The sequence below is a fragment of the Homo sapiens genome, chromosome 6 (genome assembly GCF_000001405.40).
Source record: "Homo sapiens chromosome 6, GRCh38.p14 Primary Assembly".
Lineage (NCBI taxonomy): Eukaryota > Metazoa > Chordata > Mammalia > Primates > Hominidae > Homo > Homo sapiens.
In genome coordinates, this window is record NC_000006.12 from 24,875,491 (window position 1) to 24,897,957 (window position 22,467).

A 22,467-nucleotide genomic window follows, 5' to 3' on the forward strand; every position below is an offset into this window, starting at 1 on the left:
CCTTGCAGGAGGAATTCTAAATGATAGAAAATAAACTATAGCACTTAATTTTTAGTACATCCTTTCCATGAAAAAGATTAAAATGGGGAGGAGGCCGGGGGGCGGTTTGACAAGGCTGAATGCACACAGACCCTCTTCACAACATCAAAGTTCACTTCCTTGGCAAGCTGCATCCCGGGAGAGAACCACACAGTACTTGCCTGGATCGCCTTTCCTGGAGGCCGCTGAAACCCGCAAAGGACTGGCTTCTAATGATCCCATTGGGCCCTCCAGGCGAAAAAGACTGGGATCCTACCAACATGATTTCCGGGAGTCTGGTCGGTAGTCCTAGAAGACAGTGGAAAGATCATGACAATTTATAGGCAGGTTCAGACAGAAGATGCACTAAGCTTGTCAACAATGATAAAGGATGTAAAGTAAGCCATGAGACTGTTAAGTGCTTGTGAGGTTCTTTATTATGGAGTGTCCTGAAGACGAAGGGTTCAACTCTCAAAAGAATAAAAAAGATACCCATCTATGGCCAGGTGCGGTGGCTCACACCTGTAATCCCAGCACTTTGGGAGGCCGAGGCAGGTGGATCACCTGAAGTCAGGAGTTCAAGACCAGCCTGGGCAACCTGGTGAAACCCCATCTCTACTAAAAATACAAAATTAGCTGGGCGTGGTGGCGCATGTCTGTAATCCTAACCACTCGGGAGGCTGAGGCAGGAGAATTGCTTGAACCCAGAAGGCGAAGGTTGCAGTGAGCCGAGATCGCCCCACTACACTCCAGCCTGGGCAATAAGAGCAAAACTCTGTCTAAAAAAAAAGAAAAGAAGAAAGAAAAGAAAATAAATATAAATTACACAAAATTGTCCATCACTTTAGGTTTCCTTCAAGAATTTTTTTTTTTAAAACAAGGTTCAACCACACCCTCAAAAACATGAAAACTGTTGTAACATTTATCTCCATTCAACAACAATAAAAACACACAAATAGGCCAAGTCAAAGCTTCAGATAAGTCATGCGTCAAACTGAAAACACAGTCAAGTCTTAAGGCGGAATTCTACACCTAGGGGTCATAAAGCTAAAACACTAGGTTACTTTAGAGATGAACTTACTTGAACTAGTTCTCCCTTTCTATCTTTAAGAATATTCTGAAAGCTAAGATTGTGCCACTACTGTGACAGTGCAAAATAAGAAGGGTAAAGGGAGTGCTCACAAAAGATGTGATAATCTAGGTTAGATAAGAACACAAGGGCGGTCGGGGGGAAGGTAAGAGGAAAATACAGCAGAAAGCGCACAACTTGTATTTCAGTCTTTTGCTTGGCTTTTGTAAGGACTTACCACAACAGACCAAGAAGCATTGTCAAAACACAACTTCAGCTGAGCAGAAGCCCAGGGCTAGTTCCCCCAAAGGATGACCCTGCAACTGTTAGGTAATTCTATTCCTTTTAGATCAGGAGGAGTCAAAGCACATACCATTGTCTTAGCAGGTGACTTCAATCCAGAGAGGGGGACAGGCTAGCAGGAAAAAGGGTAAATAGTTACTGCCCAGATTGAAGACTCCAAAGTGGGCAGACAACAAATCGGTATGTTTGCAGAGTGTCGACAATTGCCCTTTAAAGACTCAAAGAAAGAAAAGCTAAAAAAAACAACAGCAGCAGAACTCTCTGGTAGTACATCCAGATGTAATGGAAAGACCAATTTCACTAGACCTTCCTCAAAGCTACGCGAAGCAGCTCAGCAAGGAAGGCAGTTTGAGCGAGTTACTTCCCCAGAGAGAGAAGGACAAACAGCCTCCTCCCCCATGTTGCTGCAGGTTTTTAAATCCCCTCCCTCCCTCTCCAGGAGAGAGCAGCCCTGGAGTTTGTATGCATTCTTGCGAGGTACAGGTGCTGACTCACTTGGCTACAGGTATGGCAATCGGCTTGCTCTTTCATCTGGGTGAGATGCAAATCCCATACTAGCTGGGGAGGAGCAGCTTACATTTTAGGGCATTCTCCAGAATTTTAGAAGTAATGAAGAAGTACGTATGAGCAGTAAAAGTAATATGTAGGGCACAAATGGTTAGACAAAATGCAAGTGCAGATAAGGTTCTCTCTGGTTACTTCTCCCCAGCCTCAAGGCTCAAAAAACTCCTAATTCTGTTATAAATAAATTTTTGATGCCACAAGGAAATAGCACTCAAACATAAATTTAATTTTCTCAGCAAGGCAATTTTTACTTCTATATAAGGGTGCAACTTATGAATGGAGTAATGGTGAGACCACACTTGGACAGGGGAGGGGCAGGAGTTCTTATTCCTGAAGCATGGCCCTACTGCTGTGTCGTTCCCCTATTGGCTAGGGTTGGACCGCACAGTCTAAGCTAATTCTGATTGGCTATTTTAAAGAGAGTAGGGGTATGAGCCACAGTGGTGGGGTGGGTAGTTTGGCAGGAAGGACGGTTAGGAACAGGTAACTAAAGGTGACTTAGGTCAGAGCAGGTGACCAGGGGTGACTCAGGTCCAACAGGTGACTGGGATGAGTCAGGATGAAGCAGGTGACCAGGGGAACAAATGTGAACTACTGATTAGGACTGGTGGGAATGCTGTTTACTGAAACTAGGAGCAAGGAGACGAAGAGAACCAGAAAGTTAAACTTTAAAATGGAGAATCAAAGAATAGGAGACCTGAACGTACTGACATACTGATTCTTTGAAGAGAAACTTGGGGTTCACTATATTTAACAATTCCTTTAATCCTTAATGAGGTTCTCCTCTGTGCTCTCTGCTGGTTACTGAGAAATCTGTCTACATTTCTTTAAGGGGATCTTTCTTAGGTTCATAAAGCATGCCTGTGGTATCACTGTATGCCATGCAAACTTGTAATAAACTATCATGCTTTCTTAATATTTCTGTTCTTTCTGTACTCAATTTGACAACCAAGCACCCACCTTAATGTCTCAATTTGGCAAATTTTAGTATTCTATCTTATTTTGTAAATTATTATTCATTATATCTATTGTATCACAGACACTCTTTGATCAAAGGAAAAAACTTAGAGTATTCGAAATATTTAACTATATCATTATCTCATACCTCTTAGAAATTATATTTTTCAAGCCAATTTTCCCCCCTTATCCATTGGATCACGGTAGTTTAAACTACTGATGCCTGGCTCCTATCCCCAGGCACTGTTTAATTAATATGGGATATCACCTGGGTATGGGGAGGGTTGTAAAGTCCCCAGGTGATTCTGATGTTCACCAATGTTTGAGAGCCACTGACTTAGGAGTTTTGATTGAACAATCAGTTGCACTAGTGATAGGCAGAAAAAAAAAGAAAAGATACCAAGTTCATTGCAAATTTAAGACTTCTGTTAAAATAATCTGCTACAATTAATTAACTCCAACTCTTTCATTAAATGAATTAAACGCTGGAGAGTAAAACATATGTACCAGATTGTAAAATAATTTTCCTTCTTCCTCATTTTCTGTAACAGGTAAACAAGGTTCTCAAAATCAGAACAAATGTCTGTCCAGGATCCTAAGATTGTCAAATACTTTGGGAGGGGGAATAATGCTCAGAAACTTTTCATTAAATGTATGGTTGGGTGCAGTGGCTCATGCCTGTAATCCCAGCACTTTGGGAGGCCGAGGCAGGTGGATCACCTGAGATCAGGAGTTTGAGACCAGCCTGGCCAACATGGTGAAACCCCATCTCTACTGAAAATACAAAAATTAGCCAGGCATGGTGGCTGGCGCCTGTAATCCCAGCTACTGGGATTACAGAGGCTGAGGCAGCAGAATCGCTTGAACCTGGGAGGTGGCGGCTGCCGTGAGAGGAGATCGCGCCACTGTACTCCAGCCTGGCGAGAGTGGGGGACTCTGTCTCAAAAAAAAGAACCGAGAAACTTTTCACTAAATTTACATATGGAACTGATGGCCACTAGGAATGTGACTAGAGTGAGCAGTTTTGTTTTGTTTTGCTTTTGTAGTCTTAGAAATGATCATTATCTATCAAGAAAGAATTTGGCCAGAGCTGATTTAGGCTGAGATCTCTCTATCTTGCCATCATTTCCCCTAAAAGGTGACACATGGCCTAAGGAGAGTCATAAAACAAGCACGCACACACACAAAGTCTGGCTCTGGAAGAAATAAAAGGAGGAGGTTGGGGCAGGGTAGTGTAGAGGTATTAGGGACAAAAGTATACAAAACACTCCCTTCCCCATAGCTCCCAAGTCTGATGGAGGGGTGGTAGTTCTTCGCTACTATTCTTCCAGCTTCCCCAGCTCTTCTCCAGTTGTAACTGATCATGCACCTCTTCGTTATCAACTGTCATTCTATTGACCACTCCACTCCTACCTCTTAGCATCTTATATCTTTAGATTGTTCCCTGGCTTCCTAGAAGTCCCAAAGACCTGGTCTGTCCCCAGCTTTCAGAAAAACTACCTCTAAAATTTTTGGGTTTTAAAGGCTTAATTGCCTCTGCCAGAGTAATCTGCATTTTAATAGCAGGTGCTCCATTGAACCAAAAGCCTTAACCTAAAGAAAGGACTACAGTAGAATTGCAGTATTACTGCTGGTAGGGATGTAAAATGGAATTAAAATTTTGGAGAACAATTTGGCAGTATCTGTTTAAGCTGCAAAACATACTAATCCTTTAACAGGGCACTTCTTTGATAGCTCCTCTAGGGAAATACCCAAATGCATGAAGAGGCATATACAGGGATATTCATCACAGGCAATGTTAATAGTAATGGAAAAATGGGAAATGATATAAATGTTAGTCATTACAGGAATGGTTAACACTCAAAATTATGTTATAATTTTGACAATAACATTATGTGGCAGTTAAAAACAACATGGCCACATGGAAAGATCCCCAGGATAAACTACAGAATGAAACAGAGTATGATAGTAGGAATGCCAAAAACAAAACTATATAAAACCACGAACACAAATAGAAAAGTTCTGAAACTACACACAGTCTATGGAGAGGTGGGATTGAGTGGTAGTCAGAAACATTTTAATCTTTTCTGTATTATATTTTTATACAGAAAAGGTATTTGTGTATTTTTCATATAATGTAAAATTCTGTTTTGAAATTGCAGACATTTGGAGTTGCCTAGAAATAGAAGTGAAAAGGAGACAGCTCATAAACAAGATCATATAACTCTGTTGAGTAATAACTGTATTTATAAAATTGTTTATATTTATCAGCCTTGCAGAGGAGAAATATGATTGCCAAGAAATATTGTATTAGGCTTTATAAATTCTGATTACATCAGAACTATTTAGATTTCCTGATGAAGTCCTTATTATGAGTTCTGAGCTATGTAACAAGTTCATTACTTTTGTCTGCAAAACATTTAGAGCTGGGATTGTACTCCTGGTAACATGCACTATACCTGATATATACTCATATATACCCGATATATACTCTAGGTTCACCAGTTCACCAGATGCCATATCTATTAAGCAAGAAATCCCACATAAAACAACAAACTCAGGCCAGGTGCAGTGGCTCACGCCTGTAATCCCAGCACTTTGGGAGGCCGAGGCGGGTGGATCACGAGGTCAGGAGTTTGAGACCAGCTTGGCCACATAGTGAAACCCTGTCTCTACTAAAAATACAAAAAAAATTAGCTGGGCGTGGTGGCGGGTGCCTGTAATCCCAGCTACTCGGGAGGCTGAGGCAGGAGCATTGCTTGAACCCGGGAGGCAGAGGTTGCAGTGAGCCGAGATCACGCCATTGTACTCCAGCCTGGGTGGCTGGGGCTTTGAAAAATGTTTCCAGTCTCTAAGTTATTGACGTCTCACCTGGTCTTTTGGAAAATTCCAGCATAACTAATATTCATTTTTGTGTGTTAAATCCCAGAAAGGACTCAAATCCTAGGCAAACAGTGTGGCTGCTATGGTTTGCTCTTCACTTGACTTTGTTGCAGGAGGCCCTGGCTGTCATACCAGGTTGCCACCCGTGCCCTGCCACTCCTATAACCAATGGGAACAACACAACAGGGTCTTTCTGGAAGGAATCCCAAGCACCTTGACTAAGAGTTGAACAAATCCTGCCATTCTGAGCTGAGCCTCTAGGCACAGAACCCTGAAAGCCACAGCTGTTTCTCGTCCCAGTTTCTTCATACAATGAAAATCACTGCCTTTTCTCTGACTATGCAGTGTTAAGTTCCAATTAAACACATATCAGGGTCTTTTGAAATTATAATAAGTATAAGATTTTACATGTTCTTGTATGAATGCTGTGATACAGGTACACTGGACTTTGGTGGATGCTATGAGCGACCACCTGACCCAAACACCTGGTGTCTGTTTAAATTAGAAGGTAGCTCATCAAATCAGCAGGCGGTTTTTGGACAAGAACACTGAATCTGAAGATAGAAGGGGGCTGAAGCAGATAAAAAGAGAACAAGGGATTTCCCCTCACCCATCAGGTCTCAGGCTCTGATTGGACCAGAAATAAAGGGTGGAATATGATTGCAGTTTGGGGGAAGAATTTGCACCTCCTTGGAGAACTTGGAGATAACCTGTCTCTTAAGAATAAAGGACAGGAATCAATCTTGGAGGGCTGTTTGGAAGATGGGTGATGAAGGACATCTGTCATGTGGCAGGCCCATGCAGCAGGCCCTAAAGTGCAGCTCATGGTAGTGCCACCAGTAGAAGTAGTAAAAGTGACGGGGAAATGTTTGGAATGTCCAGTCTAGGTGATGGTTCTACTTCTCCCTATATTTTTATGAACTGGCATTCTGGCTCATGTTTTCATGTGTGTTTGATTAGCTTGAGTTAGCAAGCCTCTCTTCAAATTTCAGCAATTTCACTACGAGACAGGTAAGGCTAGATATATATATTAAAGTAAGAATCCTGGTTGTCAGGCCAGTGGCCGACCTCCTTTCAACATCTGCCAGGTGTGAATCTTCAAACTCACTTGTTCAGAGTAGAAGTGCTGGAGGCATTGATTAACCTGTAAGGCAACTGGGCAAATTGACTACTCAGCTAGAAGGAATGCTAATATTTATTGTTAGAGTTAAGAATACTGAGACTCATTAAAGGAAATATGATTCAGTACATTATTTTTAGTTTTTACAAGCACAAAAGCCCTCTCCTGTATTAGGAAAACACAGAAAGTAGAAAGGAGGCAGTGTAGGGAGAAGGAGAGAAGAACCATACCGTTTGTATCATCCAAAGACAACCACCGGGGGAATTTTGTTCTGTTAAATTTTCTCTAGCTCTTCCCTTCTCATATAAAGCATAATAATTTGAGCATATTGCATGCAAAATTTTGTATCCTGCTTTTTCTATCGGATTCTTTTTTTAAAGCTATGCCGAGGGGGCTATCAATTAGCTTTTTAACAAAGCTATCTTTAAAAGGATACTCAAGTCTACCCCATATTCCATGTGCTCCTTTGAATAATAAGAGGAAAACTAATGAGTCCGCATTACATGTGCCTTTTATTTCTGATTTTTCAGATATGGCAGTTTGGCCAGAGGCTAAAGGAAACCCCTGCAAGGATGAGACCAGGGCTTTTCTATGGGAAACAAGAGACCACGTGATCATTTGTGCATGCTTGAGTTGCAGGACATCAAACATCATGAAATTAAAACGAAAATACAATAGCTAGATGCTACTGTCTTAACCCTTATGGTGTTTTCCTTTTTTAAAAATTTAACCAAACCTTCTATCGAATTAAGAATACAAACAGGCAATTCTGAGAGAGCCTTACTGATAGAAAATATGAGACACATCTGTGATTTCTGAATGACATGAGTAAGGATATCTCAGTTCTCGCCAAGGCATTTCTCATGGGGGCCAAACGTCAACTTGGAAACCAATAGTTGTCACACTTACAAAGCTATGCCATCTCCATAAGCTAGACTGAGACCAACCCCTCTGAGACAAGACAATTGACCCATAGATCAGTTGGCTGTAGCTGGGGTGACATGCTGGCAAAAGTAAAAAAATTCCACAATCAATTCAAGTGTTTGCCTGAGGCCAGGGACGGGAGCAGGCAAGGAAGCAGAGAGAGGTTTTGGGGGTGGTGGAAGTGTTCTAAAAGCAAATCATGGATGATGGTAGCACAAATGTATAAATTTACTAAAACTCAAACTGTCCACTTAAGATGAGTAAATTTTATGGTATGTGAATTGTACATCAATAAAGCTGTTTAAAAAAAATCACTACCAATTTCTAGAAAAAGTCATCATTCCTTCTGCAAGAGGAAGTGCCAAGAAATCAGGACTTGGAAAAGCTGAATCAGTAAGCAACCAGCTGAGAGTTGCTTTCGTGATTTGATCCTGTCTCCCAGCGAGGCTTCATAAGATGTAACACCTGCCCTCACTGCACTTTCTGAGTCATTTCTTCATGCCCGATTTGGGTTCTTCCTTTCTTTTTCCCCTAACAATGCCATCCTGTTTATGCTCCCCCACATCGTGGTCAAAAGCAGATGTATAATTGACTTGTCTGAAAGAGGCATGTGGGCCAGATGTAAATAGCCTGCTATGCAAAATAATTATTTAAGATGAAAACTAAAGATACACGTCTGCTTATTATATGGTTACAAGGTACCTATTACAGAGCAGTTGACTAATCTTTTTTAAAAAGTAAATATATTTATGTCATTGGCCTTTAAAAAATATGGCTGCTTTAAAGTAAATCAAAGCAGGCCCGGCACGGTGGCTCACGCCTGTAATCCCAGCACTTTGGGAGGCTGAGGCGGGCGGATCATGAGGTCAGGAGATCGAGACCATCCTGGCTAACATGGTGAAACCCCCGCCTCTACTAAAAATACAAAAAATTAGCCAGGCGTGGTGGTGGGTGCCTGTAGTCCCAGCTACTCGGGAGGCTGAGGCAGGAGAATGGCGTGAATCCGGGAGGTGGGGGTTGCAGTGAGCCGAGATCGTGCCACTGCACTCCAGCCTGGGCGACAGAGCGAGACTCCATCTCAAAAATAAAATAAAATAAAAATAAATAAATTAAGAAATCAAAGTAATGCTAATATTTGCTTCTCAGTTGTCAACATTGTTTGCTAACCCAGTGATGAATGCATGTGTGATACACTGCTTGACTAAGACAACTGACGTGAACGGATGAAAAAAAAGTGTAGAACAACTCAACAGAGCCTCACTCCTCAGCAAGGGGATGGAAGAACCAGGGCCAGATGTTCTAACTGGCCTTTTGGGCAAGTCCTAAACTCAGTGAACCTCACACTGTATCTGTAGAGTAAAGGAAGTAATTCCTCCCCATTTTAACAGGCAAGCATTGTAAGGTTCAATTGAAATCAAAGCTTCATCCAATCTAACAATCAGGAGACTACTTGGACATGTAGACTGACTTTCCACCATCTCTGTAGATGGCTGGATTTCTGCTTTAAAACACAGAGAAAACGACGAAGTGCTTTACAAAAGGCAAAGTGCTTGAGAAACCACAGATTATTATAATGAATACTTAGTTTTAACTCACTTGAAAAAAAGAAACTTAATTTTCAGAATCTCTGGAAAGTGATATGATAATTTTCTTTCCGTGTTTTCTAAGACTCCATCAATCAATATAATTATTAAGTATATATTATATGCTCAGCGCTGGCAGGATGCTATGTGTTGTCCAAGATCCAAAGACAACCTAAGACTGAGCTCTGCTTTTAAAAATTTTAACAATTTAATTGAAGATAACATGAGTATACATAAAGCGGATTGGAGACAATTTTTCATGTAAGAAATAACAGCGTAAAATTTGAAGTGGTACCTATTTCTGGGTTTTTTTGTTTTTTTGAGACAGAGTCTTGCTCTGTTGCCTAGGCTGGAGGGATGGATTGCAATGACTCAGTCATAGCTCACTGCAGCCTCAATCTCCTGGGCTCAAGCGATCCTCCTGCCTCAGCCTCCCGAGTAGCTGGGACTACTGGCATGTGCCTCCACACCCAGCTAATCCTTCTGATTTTTAGTAAAGACGAGATGTTGCTATGCTGGCCAGGCTGGTCTTAAACTCCTGGGCTCAAGCAATCCTCCTGCCTCGGCCTCCCAAAGTGCTGGAATTACAGGTGTGAGCCACCATGTCCGGCCAAAGTGGTACCTATTTCTTAATCTTCCAAGGAAAGCAACACAGCAGAGACAATAAGAACGTGGAATCCAGAGTCAGACAAATCTGCACTCAGTTTGGGTTCTACAGCTACAGCTGTTTGAACTTTTGCACATTATTTAACTTCCCTGAATCCCAGTTTTCTCATTTATATAAAAGGATTAACATTTCAGAGGATTTTTGTAAGGTGCAAATGAGATAATATACATAAGACCTGGTATGTAGTAGGTGTTTAATAAGCCTAGCTGTTAATAATAATTTAAATAATAAGGAATTTTCTCAAAAGAGAGGGAGATACATAAGACAGGAATAGCCAGGCAAGTTTAGGTAATGCTAAGGAAGCTAGAAACTAGCATCTTTTTGAAGATAGCAATTTTTAGGTAATTGAAAAGCATGGATTCATAAGGACTATAAATATGAGTACCTGGGATGTGCAGTTCAAAAGTCAATTTTACAAAAAAGATTTTGATTTTGAAATAATTTGAAGCTTACAGAAAAGTTGCAGGAAAAGTACAGAAAGTTCTCATCTACCCTTCACCCAGATTCATTCGTCGACATCTGCCACATTTTACTTTGTCATTCCTCCTCCAAATACACACACACACACACATTATTTTTTCCCAAATCCTATGAGACTAATTTGCACATATGTATTTATATACATTTCCTCCCCCACACTGAGTAATTTGCAGATGTGATGCAAATTTACTCTTAAATACTTCAATGTGTATTTCCTAAAATCACGGACATTTGCAGACATTTGCTGACATTCACTGACTATCGTAGTCTAATTATCAGTATCAGGAAATGTAACATCAATACAATACTATTATCTAAGGTACAGACCTTATTCCAATTTCACCAATTGTCCCAATAATGTTCCATGTATTGTCCCTCCTCCCCACATTCCAGGAGCCAAACCAGGATCAGATGCTCCCTGTTTTGTCATGAGTCTGTCCTTTAATCTGGGACAGTTTCTTGGCAATTCTTTGGCTTTGACATTGACATTTTAATGGAATTCAGGCCACTTGTTTTGTACACTGGCCCTTACTTTGGGTTTGTTTGCTGTTTTCTTGTGATAAAGAGTCAGACTATGCATTTTTAGCAGTGATACCACGTAAGTGACATTGTCCTTCTCAAGGCATTGCATCAGAGGCTCAAGGAGTTGCTTGGTGCCATTACCGGTGATGTTAACTTTGATCAGTTGGTTAAAGTGTTGTTGGCCAGTTTCTCCTACGGAAAGTTACTATCTTTGCCTTTCTAGTTGATACATAGTTGGTAAGGAGGTACCTTGAGGCTATGCAAATATCTTGCTTCTTTAACCCAGGAGTTTTAGCATCCATTGATGTCTCCTGCCCAAATCAATTATTCCTATAATGATGGCAAAATGGTACTCTTTAAACTCTATCATTCCTTCTACTGTAAAGAAAGAGCTTTTCTAATCCTTTCATTCATTCATTTCTTTCTTTATTGTCACTGTATGGACTCACGGATTCTTGTTTTACTCAATGGGTTATAATCCACTACTATAATTTGATGCAAAAGCCAACTGTTGTCTACAAGCATTTTCTGAGCAGCACAGCCAGAGGGCTCTCACATTGCGAACCTCAAAACTTTGAATTACTGATGGGGTACTAACATCTTCAGGGCCTTGCTTGTATTTTAGTTATTTTCCCAAATGTCTTATCTCTTTAACCAAGCTACACCCACCGTGAGAGGGGGTACCAGCTGTCTTTTGAAACTTCTCTGATGCTCGGTACAGGGTAAGATACCAAAATCATTGGCTCTGCAGCCAGGGTGATCCAGGCTTCACCCAAGTCACCTGCTCTCTCTAAGCCCTAATTTTTTTTATGAATAAAATGATGATCATACCTAAGTCACCAAGGGTGTTTTGAAGAGAAAATGAGATAACATATGTAAAAGACTTCATGTGGAAAAATGGTCTTTCCTACTAATTAGGACTTGCAATTTGAGAGATATCTGACTTTTATCAAATGGAATGTGCTAATAATAAACCTATACACATTTTACAGGTGAAGAAACACATAGAGATGAAGTAATTTGACATTACTGCTCTCCCTTTTCCCTCTCTTTTATTCCTCTTCAAAGCAATGACAGCAGAGTACGTTGAAGCTATTTTAAGGGTCTGGCTGAGTCATTTGAAGAGTAAAGAAGAAATGTTAATAGCATTTCTATTCATTGGGACAGTCAATTGTAGGAACTTCTAGATAATTGACACCATTTTAGCCCTGGGGAAAAATGAAAACTATTTCTTCTCCTTTTCTGGTGGATTAAATAAATGCAGGGAGTAGCAGCTGGCCTCACGATAATTAGAAGAGAAATGATTCAGGGCATAAAACTCGCCTAAGTCTAATGAGGGATTGGGTTGATTTTGACTAATGTTGTCATAACTCATTTTAAAATGCACAGTCTAGAACACTTGTAGACCCTCATTTGGTGTACACTACATGGCAAACCAGGACCAACTGTTTCCTTATTAGAAGGAAAAAGCATTTTGCACTTAAATGAAGCCTGAGCCTGTTTGTAATAATAAGTACATTTACCTATTTTAAAAAAACCCAGCAAAACCCATGTATATCAAAAAAGGAACATCTCTTGGGACTATGATCTTCAGAGACAGCTTGGCTGATCCAGCTGAGAGAAAAATACACCGACCAGGGATCCTCAATTTTTGATCACCAGGTTAAAAAAACATTGCCATATAGAAGAAAATGGCCCCATTCCTGGTATTATCAGCTCCTTCAGGCATATTTGCATGCAGCCTGTTTTCCCTAGAGCTTGGCAACTCATTTCTAGCTATTAGTGATTATTGCTTCTTTACTTCAGAACAGCATCAAAATGATACTGACATCCTCACTTCTACTGGTATTTGACTTTACTGAAATTACCATTTTTATAAGCTAATATTTTTTATTGTTCTCATTACAACCAAGCTACATCTTTGGAAATCCTAAACAGAAAAAGCCACTAGGTTCTAGGAGAATGTACCCAACAGTGTGCTGGGAAGTATAATTACACACCATGTGCTTGTTTCCTTTGCCCAACATGTGCAATTAATGCTGGTGTTTATTAATGGGCATGAGGGTCCAGTAGGAAATTGAATTGAGCCTTATAAATAAAGCTACATGCTGTATTTCATCTCAGAGAAAGGATAAGAAATAATCTTAAATGAAAGCTTTTCAGATATGGCCTACATAATCACACTAATAGATTTTTCATATGGCCAATTAATTTCTTTCTGTCCATCCTAACAAGTAAATTGAATTGATGGAGAATTGACTGGCAATTATGTGATGGTAAAAATAGCTGACAACATTACTCAAATATGGTAATGTTCTATGATCACGGCCTTTGTTTGAGCTAGGTTAGAGTTAAACCCTTGCAACATGAAGGTAAAGCAACGGACTTAAAACTAATTCAGCCCTTTCAAACTCCAGTTACATTCGTCATTTTATTCCTGTTGTTATGACAACACTTTAAAAAGCAGCACTTTAAATGCTTAACATTTAGGCATCTTATTATAGACTGGAAAATAATACATGAGGTATAAAGTGCTGCTCCTAGGGGCTTAAAAGGGAGCCTGGGGATCATCAAGAGATGCAGTTGGAACACCTGGACTGCTTTCTCTGCTGTGGCCTCTAGAGCTCAGTAACTTTGCTTTTTTCTACCCTCAAGGCAGTGAGAGCTCATCCAAGGGAGGGAAGGTTAAAGAATTTATGTGGGAAGATACAAATTATTATTCACAGCCTCTATTCTGTGGTTGCATTTTTGAATAAGAAATTCACCCGCGACCTGAAGTATTTTATTTTCTTGATTATAGCCTGTGTCATGCAGTTTTTAAAAGGCTATAAGTGACGATGTGTTCTGATTGATTTTAGTTGCTTATTGTTAGCTATTGGAATGACCTGTTTATGTGAATATAACTTTATAAAGGAAATTCATAACACATAACTATTATGAAAATTAATTATTGATAAAGAGATAATGTGTTGGAGTGAACCTCTTACATGGATCTGTGACCTATTGTGTTTGTACTATCATCTGATAAAAGCACAGAAATGCTTGTTAAATTTAAAATATATATATTTTAAAGCAACTATGTTGCTTTAAAACAACGTATGTCCCTATACATAGGGAGATGTTTTTATTAAGGAAACAAGCTAGCTGAATGTTGGCATTTTCCAGTTATTATGTATTAGTAGATTGAAAATTATCTGTCATGTTTAATTCTCTCTGCCTTGAAATAAATTTCTCTGATAATTTTACCTTGGTAGAAAAGAAATAATTGCATCAAAAAGATACCTGCACCTGTATGTTCATTTTTTTATTTTATTTTATTTTATTTTTTTGAGACAGAGTTTCACTCTGTTGCCCAAGCTGGAGTGCAATGGTGTGATCTTGGCTCACTGCAACCTCTGCCTCCCGGGTTCAAGCGATTCTCCTGCCTCAACCTCCCGAGTAGCTGGGGGATTACAGGTATGCGCCACCACGCCTGGCTAATTTTTTGTATTTTTAGTAGAGACAGGGTTTCACCATGTTAGACAGGCTGGTCTCGAACTCCTGATCTCAGGAGATCCACCCGCCTCAGCCTCCCAAAGTACTGGGATTATGGGCGTGAGCCACTGTGCCCGGCCTGCACCTGTATGTTTAATGTAGCACTATTCACAATAGCAAAACTATGAGATCAACCTAAGTTTCCATCAGGGGTTGATTTGATAAAGAAAATGTGGTATATATACACAATACAATACTATTCAACCATAAAAAATAAAATCATGTCTTTTGCAGCAACATGGGTGGAACTGGAGGCCATTATCTTAAGTGAAACAACTCAGACACAGAAAGACAAATACTGCATGTTCTCACTCAGGAGTGGAAACTAAATAATGTGTACAAATGGACATAGAGTATGGAATGATAGACCATGGAGACTTGGGACAGTGGGGAGAGGGGAGGGGAGTGGATAACAAATTACTTCATGGATACCATGTATGTTATTTGGGTGATGTATATTCTAAAAGCCTGGACTTCACCACTATGCAAACTATGCATGTAACAAAATTACACTTGGACCTTTGTACCCAATAGATTTTTTTCTTTTTTTTTTTTTAAGAGACAAGGTCTTACTGTGTTGCCCAGGCTGGAGTATAGTGGTGCAATCATGGCTCACTAAAGCCTGGAACTCCTGGGCACAAGTGATTCTCTCCCCTTAGCCTCCTGAGTAGCTAGGACTACAGGCACATGCCACCACTCCCAGCGAATTTTTAAAATTGTTTGTAGAAATAGGGTCTTGCTATTTTGCCAGGCTGGTCTCAAACTCCTGGGCTCAAGAGACCCTACTGCCCCAGCCTAGGATTACTGGGGTGGGCCACTGCACCTGGCTCCCATAAATTTATACAAAAAAAAAATTACCTTGGTCTTTCTAAATCTGTGCTGTTTTGTATAAAGTCATGTGAATTATTACTGAACAAAGTATAGCTGATGAAAAAAAGTAGAGGAAGAAAACTATAACAAACTGACTCCCTGCAGAACAACCCAGTGTCAAAGAGTTATTCCAGGATCTTAACAAAGTAAGGCAGTGCTGTGTACGTGTGTGCCGTCATATGCCAGCAGTTGCAAAGTTGAGTGGCTTCCCAGAGGCCTGTACACATGTCCTCTGCATGGTAATTTTAGCAAATTAAACTGCCATAAAAGGAATAGTGGTTTCATTGCTGGTTCTAACTGCTGCATACCAAAAGGTAGCCACATGTATAACATCTGCTGAGTTATTTTTGGTTGCTAAAGACAAATAATTTGTCATTAGAATGCAAAGCAGTTAGGTATAGCTACGTGCAAATATCTAGATTATTAACAAAACAGAATTATGTTCCTCTTTATTGTATATCAAGAGTGTTTAATAATTTCTTACTGTTCTTTGTCTAAAGGATTTGAAGCTGTAATGACAGTAACGAGATAAAAAAAAAAGGCCACCTAATTCTTATCTTTAAGTACAATATAGCATAAAGAAAGAACAAATGCTTATGTATCCGAGACTGGATCCATCAACGTATGGCAAATTCCCAACACCAAAGACAAAAGAATACATTAGAGGCATATTTGTACATGTGTGAAATGCTGTATTACTTGTATTCTGAGCCCAAAAGGCACTATCCCATTGGTTCCCCTCTCAGAGGCCCACGTAACTCCTGTAATCACACCAAGCTCTCACTTAGGTTAGTAAGTTAGCTTCCACAATCCTCTTGCCAATTTATGGTCCTTAGCCAATTTACCTAGAGTGGAGTTACATCCATTCTTATTTATTTTATTTTATTTTTTTGAGACAGGGTTTTGCTTTGTTGTCCAGGCTGAAGTGCAGTGATGTGATCTCAGCTCACTGCAACATCCACCTCCCAGGTTCAAGTGATTCTCGTGCCTCAGCCTCTCAAATAGCTGGGACTATAGGTGCGTGCCGCCACCCCCAGCTAATTTTTGTATTTTTAGTAGAGACAGGGTTTCACTATGTTGGCCAGGCTGGTCTTGAACTCCTGACCTCAAGTGATCCACCTGCCTCAGCCTCACAAAGTGCTGGGATTACAGGCGTAAGCCACATCCATTCTTACAGAGCAAGAAAATGAGGGTTGGAGACTTTTCCCAAGACTCCCGTCTCCCCTAATGCACCCTCCATCACCTCACACTCACCAGTTTTAAATCTTGTTTGTACCCGATAGATTTTTTTCTTTTTTTTAAGAGACAAGGTCTTACTGTGTTGCCCAGGCTGGATAGTATAATGGCGCAATCATAGCTCACTAAAGCCTGGAACTCCTGGGCTCAAGTGATTCTCTCCCCTTAGCCTTGTTTCTCCTGCATCATTCCGTATGCTCACACCCAGGACGTACTCTATCCTCTGGGTCACACAAGAACTGTTTGAAGGCCACTTTTTATTTTCTGGGACTCAAATCTCACTCTATTGCCTGGCTTCTTTTGGCCCTTGCCTTTTCCATTTTTTTTCTAGTTCACTGGGGAGAAAGTAGTTTTCATTCATTTTCTTGTGTCCTCATCTCATCAGCCTGGGTGAAGTTATAAACAGTGGAGTAAGAGGTGCTGAATCTTTGGACAGCCTGGGAGAAATAAAGCAGGCAACAGATCTTCTCTGGAAAGATTTTCACAGGGCCTCAGACTTCTTACTGATTAATGAATTTATTCGTGGGAAAAAATGGTGGGAGAAGGACAAGAAGAGACGCAGGAGACATAGCAAGAGAGGCAATGTGTGGATTCTGTTTGGACTATAATGGCAAACCAACTGAAAAGTCATTTTAAGATACTTGGGATGTTTTAATATGTACTAGATATTAGATGATAATTTGCTAATTTTGTCAGGTGTAAAATGGCCCTAGAGTTATGCAAGGAAATGTCCATACTTAGTTTGAGGCTACAGTGAGTTATGATCTTGCCACTGACTCCAGCGTGGGCAACAGAGTGAGACCCTGTCTCTAAAAAAACCAAAACAAAACAAAAGTGTGCATACTCTTGAGATGCAGTGGAAGCAGGTACAAGTGAAATCCAGAGGTCTGAATTTGCTTTAAGATACTTCAACAGCAACAATCACCAAAGGGATCGATCAAGCATGGAATAATCTTGCCAATTTTTGTAACTGGGTGATGGATATTCAGGAATTTGTTACCTCATTTACTCTATTCCTGTGTATGTTTGAAAAGTTTATTTACTGGGTGTCTACCAGCCCACTGCTGATACAAAAAGACAATCCCAAATAGCTTAAGGGTATCAGGACACTCGTCTAGCATAAAGTAGGTGAGGGCAGTCTCAGAGACAGTAATTCTTAACCTTTACCCCCTTTATGGAGCACTTTAGGACACAGTGAATGTAAGAATGGGGGACATAGACTGTAGGCAATATATGAAAACCCTTGTCCTCCTCAGGTCTCTGTGCAGATAAAGATGAGGCCATGAGAAGGGGAATGTGTCTATTTTCTCTAGAAGATGATTTGGTTTGGCCTTTTAGCCTGGTGCATTTACCCTATCCCACTTCAAAGCAAACAAGAAGGTTATAATCTGACCACACTGGTGCTCAAATTAACTGGCTTCAATAAATTCCAGATCTACCTAATTTTCCACTCCACTCAGGCCAACATCTGTGTAAATACAGAAGCCCCAACCAAACTGGGGAGCATCCTTCTTGGATATGACCCAGATCAACAGGGGAAGAGAATCGTGTTGTCAGGGAACCTTAGATTTTGCCTCTATCATCTGGTTTATAGGGAGAAGCTTGTGGGAATATTCTGGGACTTTCACCATAAACAAGAGAACAGAGAGGTCCTAGGCTGTCAGGATCCAAAGAAACAAATGCGCAATTTGAGCCAACTGGAAGCATTGAACTGGATCACATCAGCCACGCAAAAATGAAAAGATTAAATGATCTCCATGTAGGGAAGTTAGGTGTTCGAACCAACTGCCAGAGGACTTCTCCACCATAGCGAGCTACCAAAGAATTTAGTAGTCCAGGTGCTATGAGGAGCAGGTGACCCATTAGAGGTCAAAGTCAACAGAAAGAAAGGTTCATCTCCTGGTGGCTACACAGCTGTTTGTATCTCAAATATTACTTGGAACTTCAAAGAAACACCTTGATTGACGAAGGTGATTCAGGACAATATTTCATGTTTGCAGACTGCACTTTTCCAAATGCTTTGGCACCTACTCTACATGCTAACAGCAACCTGTGAGTTAGGTAGGACAGTGATTATTATTCCTGTTTTACAGGAATAAGAAGAGGTTGTATAGAAGGGAAATTCATCTGTATTCTGAGACTGACCTGTAGGCAACTGTTCCAACAAGATTGTTAGCAGAACTGGAACTGGAATGAGGGTTTCTACCACCCAGATGGGGTCTTGTTACTACTTATCTCCATTCTCCTTTAGCTAAGAGTGCAGAATTCCCTTACTATTAACAATTTCCTTTTCCGTTTCTTAATTTTCTGTCAACCGGGAGGGGAGGATCATCAGTTCTCAGAATGCCTTGTGGCCCCACAAACATCATCAATCAGTACAAATCCAATTCAGTGCTCACATGGTTTAAGAACAGTAACTGGTGTCTCACTACGACCTCCTGTTCCCCGTCCCCAGGCGTTTTACTTTCATATCCCATAACCATTCCCAACCACTAGGCGCTCATTGAGGGTCAACAACACAGTATAACAATAATAACAGCATTTCAGTTTCAACAAGAATAAATGGATAAATGGGTCATCTTTGCTATTCAGAGAGTAACATCCCACACCTATACTCTTAGGGTTAAATCCACAGTCATGTCGACTGTTAGAGATGGATTTAATGGGTTTATTTGAAGACATCTGCTACATTAAAATATTTACCCTTGTCCCAACCTCTGCATCCTCCTATTGATATAACTATCAATAACTTCTAGAAAGAGCCTAATATAATGCACTAATTTAGAGGTTCTCAAACCAGGCCGTATCTTAGAATTACCTGGGCAGTTTTTTTGTTTTGTTTTGTTTTTTGAGACAGAGTCTCACTCTGTCGCCTAGGCTGGTGTGCAGTGGCACCATCTCGGGTCACTGCAACCTCCGCCTTCCAGGTTCAAGCTATTCTCCTGCCTCAGCCTCCCAAGCAGCTGGGATTACAGGCACACCCCACCATGCCCGGCTAATTTTTTTATTTAGTAGAGATGGGGTTTCACTATGTTGGTCAGGCTGGTCTCGAACTCCTGACCTCATGATCCGCCCGCCTTGGCCTCCCAAAGTGCTGGGATTATTGGCGTGAGCCACCGCACCCGGCACCTGGGGAGCTTTTTAAAAATGTCATTGCCCAAGCCTCATTCCCAGAGATTCTGACTTAGTCTGGGGTGGGGCCTGGGCATACGTACTTTAAAAAAAAAAAAAATCTTCTAGGGTTTAATTTTTCTCCATACACACAGCATGCAGTGATCATGTCACATTTGCCTCCCATCCTTTTAACATGTAAAGAAAAAAAAGGAGTCATTCATGTTCTTTAGTCGCTTGGCTTCAACTTCACTGCACAAAATATTTGAAAAAGGCATTACAAATATTTACCAGAAAAACAGGATAAAATTGTGTCACTCGTTCAGTTGCATACAAGGAATGGTTCTGGGAATCTTAGGATTTAAAAGAACTTCTTCGGCCGGGCGCTGTGGCTCACGCTTGTAATCCCAGCACTTTGGGAGGCCAAGGCAGGTGGATCACGAGGTCAGGAGATCAAGACCATCCTGGCCAACACGGTGAAACCCTGTCTCTACTAAAAAATACAAAACATTAGCTGGGCGTGGTGGCGGGCACCTGTAGTCCCAGCTACTAGGGAGGCTGAGGCGGAAGAATGGCGTGAACCCGGGAGGCGGAGCTTGTAGTGAGCCGAGATCGCACCACTGCACTCCAGCCTGGGGAACAGAGCGAGACTCCGTCTCAAAAATAAATAAATAAATAAATAATAAAAAAATAAAAAAGAACTTCTTCATTGCACTGTTGTGAAGACTTAAAAGGAGCCCCGTGTCAGGATTGGAACTTGTTGTCATCTGTTCCTGTGTTTTCCAATAGTTTCACTAACAAAACAAATGCCTTCTACTTCAGCAGTGCTGAGACCAAAGAATCCAGCCTGCCTGGGTTTGCGGCATGGCAGCACCACTTTATACTGTGTGGCTTTCACGGGTTGCTTAAGTTTTCCAGAACTAATTGTATAATAGGGATAATAAAAGAACCAAACTCATAGGTCGCTATGAAAATTATATAGGTCAATTAATGGAAAGTGCTTAAACAGCGAAAGGGTTCATTGCTGTTCTTGTTACAGCGATGAGGATATATTATCAAGTCAATTCCAGTTTACTAAAGTCTAGATTGAGAATTCCTGTACATCTCCTAGAGGAAAAAAAACTTCAAAGGAGGTTGATTTCATGAATTTTATCATGTACCTGGGCTGTCATTTTTAACTACTGTGCATTCTCAACTCTCTTGAAAGTTGAATTAATAAGATGAGATTCAGTTATAGAGACTACATAATATCAGGAGGTCAAAAATAGTTGGCTCTTCCTATTAAAAAATAGGCTGGGCACGGTGGCTCACGCCTGTAATCCCAGCACTTTGGGAGGCCAAGGTAGGTGAATCACGAGGTCAGGAGATCAAGACCATCCTGGCAAACATGGTGAAACCCCATCTCTACTAAAAACACAAAAATTAGCTGGGTGTGGTGGCACGTGCCTGTAATCCCAGCTACTCGGGAGGCTGAGGCACAAGAATCACTTGAACCCGGGAGGCAGAGGTTGCAGTGAGCTGAGATTGTACCACTGCACTCTAGCCTGGTGACAGAGCAAGACTCCATCTCAAAATAAATAGATAAATAAATAAATAAAGTTGGTATTAAATGTGGCACAGGATCCCAGGGTATTTTACCACCAGAAGGAATGATTTTTAAGAGCAATTTTCTATGATATGATTGTGAGCTTTTCAGTGAAACCCTCCAGACAATCAGCCGCTCTGAACATTTTCTTTTTGAAGAACGCCATTCACACTGTATATTTCTCAAACCTCATCCCAATACATTGGAAGTGAAAACACAGGGAGCAATGAATGTGGGTGTTGAGTCTAATCAAATGGGATGAGCAGAGTTCAGAATGTGAACTAGGCAATGTCTTTCACAAATGACAGGCATTCACTTAAGAGTGTATTTCGATTCCTAGGAGGGCCAGAATTTTTTTCTGTACCAAAAATACATCATTTGGCAGGATGAGTTTATTGTTTGAGTCAGCAGTGCGGGTGTTCCAGCCCCAGGAGCAGATGCCCTCCAACTGTTCAGACTGGGGTATTCAGGGTGAAGAGAGAAGGGGGCCACAGCGTGGACAGGTGGCTGCACACAGCCAGTCATAGCACCCCTCCCCCTCCGCCATCCTCCAGATTTGGATTCCGGATTACACTGTGTGCCACAATTAATATTCGCAGCAGGAAATGGCAAGTATCAAATTTACCAGTTATGTTTCTGTTAGCACTTCCAGAGTCAAGGAAAATTGTTTAATAAGGGCATTTGTCTTAGTAAATGAAAGTTCGTCTAAACTTTACATGTGTATGTATTACATATTTCCTGAGAGTTGGCTCCGAGGCAATTTCATGCCATCATACCTCTCATTACCAGAGGGCCTTAAGTTACAGAGAATCTTAAAGATGGTCACAGTTAGTGTTTTTATTTTTATTTACTTGTTTATTTATTTTTTGAGATGATGTCTGGTTCTATTGCCCAGGCTGGAGTGCAGCAGCGGGATCTCGGCTCACTGCAACCTCCACCTCCAAGGCTCAAGGGATTCACAGCCTCCCAAGTAGCTGGGACTACAGGCACGCACCACCATGCCTGGCTGAGGCAGGAGAATTGCTTGAACCCGGGAGGCGG

The 22,467-nt window shown here is 40.9% G+C and overlaps 1 protein-coding gene across 16 annotated transcripts in view, besides 1 other annotated feature; it reads right to left on the reverse strand.

Annotated features, from left to right (window-relative positions):
* Positions 1–22,467, reverse strand: part of RIPOR2 (RHO family interacting cell polarization regulator 2) — a 237,885-nt gene that overhangs the window by 71,207 nt on the left and 144,211 nt on the right. For 13 of the 16 annotated variants that reach the window (XM_006715275.3, XM_011515012.2, NM_001286445.3 and 10 more), the window contains exon 2: positions 201–327. In XM_006715275.3, the coding sequence (XP_006715338.1) occupies positions 201–327 (127 nt within the window). Of the gene's footprint in view, positions 1–200; positions 328–1,460; positions 1,781–22,467 lie in introns of those variants that run through there. The other 3 variants (XM_006715279.3, NM_015864.5, NM_001286447.2) reach the window with 1 other exon arrangement.
* Positions 121–1,057: an enhancer, noted in NCBI's record as "H3K27ac-H3K4me1 hESC enhancer chr6:24875839-24876775 (GRCh37/hg19 assembly coordinates)". NCBI's record gives its function as "activates a minimal SCP1, AML or CMV promoter by ChIP-STARR-seq in naive H9 embryonic stem cells {active_cell/tissue: H9 hESC(naive)}" and the evidence as "EXISTENCE:reporter gene assay evidence [ECO:0000049][PMID:30033119]".